Source organism: Homo sapiens, chromosome 11 (genome assembly GCF_000001405.40).
Source record: "Homo sapiens chromosome 11, GRCh38.p14 Primary Assembly".
NCBI classification, from domain to species: Eukaryota; Metazoa; Chordata; class Mammalia; order Primates; family Hominidae; genus Homo; species Homo sapiens.
In genome coordinates, this window is record NC_000011.10 from 29,721,090 (window position 1) to 29,727,247 (window position 6,158).

The 6,158-nt window shown below is 40.8% G+C and overlaps 2 pseudogenes; one reads left to right on the plus strand and one right to left on the minus strand.

Annotated features, from left to right (window-relative positions):
• On the minus strand, positions 310-595 carry RN7SL240P (RNA, 7SL, cytoplasmic 240, pseudogene; annotated as a pseudogene).
• Positions 4,649-5,533, plus strand: RPL7AP58 (ribosomal protein L7a pseudogene 58; annotated as a pseudogene).

Here is a 6,158-nt window from a genome sequence, read left to right on the forward strand (position 1 = left end):
GTCTTTTTTTATATTCATTTAGTCTATGTATTTTTATTAGGGAATGCAATTCATTTACATTTAAGATAATTATTGATAGCTAAGGTCTCACTACTGTCATTTTATTAAATGATTTGTGACGTTTTTGTTTGTGTGTTTCTTGCTGTCTTTGTAGTTTCATAGTTTTCTGTAGTGGTATGCTTTGAATTCTCTATACTTTTGTTTTGTAATTCTTCTACAGATTTTTTTCTTCATTGTTACCATTACATTTACACATAACATCTTATAGCTATAACAGTCTATTTCAAGTTGATAATAAATTAACTTTGCATGCAACTTTATACTTTCACTCCCTCTTCCAATATTTTACATTTTGATGTGAGAATTTATGTTATTTTCAGCACAGGAGTTTTGACCTGCTCCAATTCTGGCCCAGGCTGGTACACCCCTCTTTAGGCAACCTGGTAGTCCCCACTATGGTGGGTCACCATGTTGATGCTGAATTTAGCAGGGACACCCAATCGGCATACTGCACTACAGCCCAGTACTCCTGGGCTCATGTGATCATCCCACCTCAGCCTCCCAAGTAACTTGGACTACAGACACGTGCCACAGCATATGGAAGAATTTATATTATTTTCAAATGTTTATCCCTTGAAAATTTATTTTAGATAGGTTCTTGTTAAAATTTTATTTTAGCTAGGTTTTGTCTTTTAACCCTCATACTAGAATAAAATTTCTTTGCACAACTGTCATTACAGTCCTAAAGTATTCTAAATATAGCTCTGTATTGTGTATACTATTGGGTTCTGTACTTTTTGTGTTTTATGTTTTTAGTTAGCAGCCTTTTGTTTCAACTTACAAAACTTTCAGTAATCTTTGAGGCCTAATGGTGATGAATTCCCTTAGCTTTTGTTTGTCTGAAAAGTTTTTATTTTTCTTTCATTTCTTAAAGTTTTTCTGAGTAAAGCATTCTTGGTTGGTGGTTTCATCAGTTTTTTCTTTTTTCCTTTAGCATTTTTAATATCTCTTCCCCTTGTTTCCTGGTCTGCTGGGTTTCTGCTGAGAAATCTGTTGATAGTCTTATTTTGATTCCTTTCCATGTAATATGTTTCTCATCTCTTGCTGCCCCCAAAGTTTTTTTGAGTTTTGATATTTTGATTGTGTCTTAGTGAACTCTTCTTTCGGTTGATTTTGACTGAAACCTCTGTGTTTGCTGTACATGAACACTGGAATCTATCCTCAGATTATGAAAATTTTTAGACATTATTTCTTTAAATATGCTTTCTGGATTTGTTTTCTCTTTCATCCCCTTCTAAGCCTCCTATTATACAAAGGTTTCACTTTTGATGGTTTCCCATAGCTCCTGTAGACTTTCTTATTTTTTATTCTTTCGATTTTTTGCTTCTCTGCCTGATTAATTTCAAATGTCCTGCCTTCAAGCTCAGACTTTCTTCTGCTTGATTGAGTTTTCTGATGAAGCCTTCTATTGATTTTTTTTTTCAGTTCAGTTATTGTGTCTGTAATTTCCAGGATTTCTATTTTTTACTATTGTTTCTATTTATTTGTCAAAGTTCTCACTTTCCATGTTATTTTCCAAATTTTATTTAATTTTCTAGCTGTATACTTTTCAAGTTCACTGAACTTATTTAAGATTATTATAATTTTTTGTCATTTCATAGATATCCATTTTTTAGCATCCATTATTGGAGATTTATTAATTTCTATAAAAGATGTAATTATTCCCAGATTTTTGGAAAATCTTGTGTCTTTGCATTGTTGTGTGCACATATAAAGAGACAACCACCTCTTCTTGTTTTTACAAGGGTTCTTTGGCAGGGATGCACCTTCACTACTCAGTTTACTCTGTGATTCTGGAAGGCCTGTTATGGGTTCTTTATTTGGGTTGGTTTGCTGCCTTTGCTCTTATGTCATGTGGAGCTTCTGGCTGGGCTCTGCTATTACACAGAGCAACTGGATGATTACTGTGAGGCTCTCTAGTCACACCTATCAGAGGATACATTCCCTGACTGAGACATTTTAGATCTGCAGTTGGACAGGGCTGCAGGCTCAGCTCTGAGGTTAGACAGAGTTGCTGCTTGGGACAGGCAGGGCCCAGAGACTATGCTCCTTAGAAATGCACAATTGAGAGTTGCCTCCTTCTTTGGGTGGAACCATGGGGTGGGCTTTTGGCTGAGTTCAGCCACTGTTTGATCTCTTGGTTCAAGCATGTCTGGCCCCTATGCTTCTCCAAAATAGGAAGAGGCAGGGATATCCCTGCCTGGATGAGGTCACTTGTCAGGCTTTTTGGCTGAGCTGAGTCATTCTTTGGACTTCCAGGTCAAGCAGGTCTAGCCTCTCTGCTTCTACTAAATGGAGAGAGAGGAAGGCGTTTCCCTGCTTGGGTGAGGTTGTTGGGGTGGAATCTGGAGCTTGGTATAGAGACTAGCCATCTATAACTCAAGCCAGGTTGAACTTCCTACTGTGGTTCTGAAAACAACCAAATCAGCTTTGCAGGTGGGGTATGAAGTTGGCTGGTATCTATGACTGGGTGCCATAGCTGGCAGGAACACAAAGGTACCAACAAGATCACACACTGGTCAATGTAATCTCTATCTTATTTCTCTGTTTTTATTTGACTTCAGATGTTATTCCCAGTGTTCCCTCATGAGGTGAGACAAAAGCGGGCTTCCAGGAAGTGCTTCAGAATGCTAAGGAAGCTGGATGACTGACTCCAGTTCTTTTTTGCCCCCTGTAAAAACCATGGCCAGCAGAAATTGTACCCATCTGGCATTGTGCTGACTTGGGAGAAGAGGGGTTGAAGTGAGGCAGTTCTTATCCTTCTAATGCCGTTCTCAGTCAGCCTGTAGACCACGTTAGTGTGTCAGACTTAGTTACAAGTATTTGGATTTTCAAAAATATGTTTTGGTTTGTAGATAGTTGCTAGCTGCATTTTTAGTTGGGCAGAGAGTAGAGCCTGAGACTTCCTCTCTGACCATCTTGCTGATTTCACTCTTCTGTAATACCATTGTTACAGATGATGACCATAGAAACAGAATTAAATTGTTCTCCACTCACGAACTAGATAGTCTTGGAATATGGCCTTATGGTTTAATCTCTCTAAATCTCAGTTGTTTTCTCTTTTTTAAAATGTGAATACTAACTTGTCAGTGTTTCTCAGAAAATTAAATAAGAAAATCAGTGTAAAGTTTTATGACAATGAATAGTAGGTACATACTAAAAGACAGATAATAATGGCAAATATATATATTTATATGTTGGTGTGTGTGCGTGTTTACTGAGTGTATTGGTCTGTTCTCACATTGCTATAATGATAATACCTGAGACTGGGTAATTTATAAACACAGAGGTTTAACTGACTCACAGTTCCACATGATTGGGGAGGCCTCAGGAAACTTACAGTCATGGCAGAAGGTGAAGGGGAAGCAAATACCTCCTTCGCAAGGCAGCAGGAAGGGGAGAGAGGGAGAGACGGGGGGGGAGAGAGAGGGAGAGACAACGAGAGAGAGAGCAAGAGAGCAAGAGAGAGAGCGCGTGAGAGAGAGAGAGAGGGAGAGGGAGAGGGAGAGAGAGGGAGAGGGAGAGAGACGGAGAGGGAGAGGGAGAGAGAGGGATAGAGAGAGAGGGAGAGAGAGAGAGAGGGAGAGAGAGAGAGCAAGAGAGAGAGGGAGAGATAGAGGTGGAGGGAGAGAGAGATGGAGAGAGAGAGAGAGAGACAGAGAAAGAAAGAGAGACAGAGAGAGACGGAGAGAGAGAGAGAGATGGAGAGAGACAGAGAGAGAGAGAGAGAGAGAGAGATGGAGAGAGAGAGAGATCGATCCCCTTATAAAACCATTAGCTTTCATGAGAACTCCCTCACTATCATGAGAACAGCACAGGGGAAACCGCCACCGTGATCCAATCAACTCCCACCAGGTCCCTCCCTCAACACATGGGGATTACAATTCAAGATGACACTTGAGTGGGGACACAAAGTCAAACCATATCATTGAATATCTACTATGTGCCAAGTAGTCCACTAAGTATTTTAGGAAATACAAAATCTATATTAGACACATTCAAGCCCAAAGAAAATTGCCATATTTGGCAGGTGGGGGATAAGAAAAAAAAATGTAAAGCCATGTAGTAAAGACCTAAACTGAAAAGTTGTTCTGAAAACAAAGCCAACATTTAGAAAAAAAATATCATTTCAAAAATGAAAGTTAGAGGTCTGCATTAAAACCCCAGTGCTAATTGTCAGTCTAAATGGATATTAAACCCAAATCAGAAGTACTGACATTTAAAGTTCACTAAATTTATTCTACATAATTTGCCATTTTTGACACACTTTCTGCTATGGTTTAAATGTTTTGTTCCCTCCAAAATTCATGTTGAAACCTAATCCCCTCTAAAATTCAAGTGCTGCCAATGTGATAATATTAAGAGGTGGGCCTTTAAGAGATGACTAGGCCATGAGGGATGCTTTTTGTTAATGGGATTAATGTCCTTTGAAAGAGGCTTTGGGCAGCATTCTGCAAACCTGTGCTCACATGAACATCTACTTCCTGCCACATGAGGATGCAGCGGAAAGGTGCCTACTAGACCACATGCTGGTGCCTTGATTTTGGACTTCCTAGCCTTCAGAATTGTGAGAATATAAATTCTTGTTCTTGCTGTTTCCTCCCACTGCCTAAGATGCTGAAAGGAAAGAAGACCAAGGGGAAGAAGGTGGCTCTGGTCCCTGCTGCTGTGAAGAAGCAGGAGGCCAAGAAAGTGGTGAATCTCTTGTTTGAGAAAAGGCCTAAGAATGTTGGCATTGGACAGACATCCAGCCCAAAAGAGACCTCACCTGCTTTGTGAAATGGCCCCGCTATATCAGGTTGCAGCAGCAGACAGCCATCCTCGATAAGTGACTGAATATGCCTCCTGTGATTAACCAGTTTATCCAGGCCCTGGACCAGCAAACAGCTACTCAGCTGCTTAAGCTGGCCCACAAGTACAGACCAGAGACAAAGCAAAAGAATAAGCAGAGGCTATTGGCCCAGGGCTGAGAAGAAAGCTGCCAGCAAAGGGGACATCCCCAATAAGAGACCACCTGTCCTTCAAGCAGGAGTTAAGACTGTCACCAACTTGGTGGAGAACAAGAAAGCTCAGCTGGTGGTGATTGCACATGACGTGGATCCCGTTGAGCTGGTTGTCTTCCTGCCTGTCCTACATTGTAAAATGGGGGTCCCTTACTGCATTATCAAGGGGAAGGCAAGACTGGGACATCTAGTCCACAGGAAGACCTGAACCACTGTCGCCTTCACATAGGTTAACTCGGAAGGCAAAGGAGCTTTGCCTAAGCTGGTGGAAGCTATCAGGACAAATTGCAATGACAGATACAATGAGATCCACCGTCACTGGGGAAGCAATGTCCTGGGTTCCCAGATCTGTGGCTCACATTCTCAAGCTCAAAAAGGCAAAGACTAAAGAACTTGCCACTAAAGTGGGTTAAATGTATGCTGTTGAGTTTTCTCTACATAAAAAAAATTAAACTACAAATTTTCCTTCAAGAAAATAAAACATAAATTATTGTTTTTATAAATTACCCAGTTTAAGGTATTCTGCTATAGTGGGACAAACAAACTAAAACAAAATATGCCTACTATTAGAAAATACTCTTTTTTAGGCCGGGCGCGGTGGCTCACGCCTGTAATCCCAGCACTTTGGGAGGCCGAGGCGGGTGGATCATGAGGTCAGGAGATCGAGACCATCCCGGCTAAAACGGTGAAACCCCGTCTCTACTAAAAATACAAAAAATTAGCCGGGCGCGGTGGCGGGCGCCTGTAGTCCCAGCTACTCGGGAGGCTGAGGCAGGAGAATGGCGTGAACCCGGGAAGCGGAGCTTGCAGTGAGCCGAGATTGCGCCACTGCAGTCCGCAGTCCGGCCTGGGCGACAGAGCGAGACTCCGTCTCAAAAAAAAAAAAAAAAAAAAAAAAAAAAAAAGAAAATACTCTTTTTTGTTGCATATACATGTAGTCCAGTTGAAATATGTTACAAAGAGAATAAGTGTTTCCTAAATTTTCACATACCATACATGTTAGTTTGCCATACACATAAGATCCATCTATAGATCTCCTTAATTTCCTTAATAAATTCAGAAGAACTTTACTGAAGTACATATTTGGTGCCACTA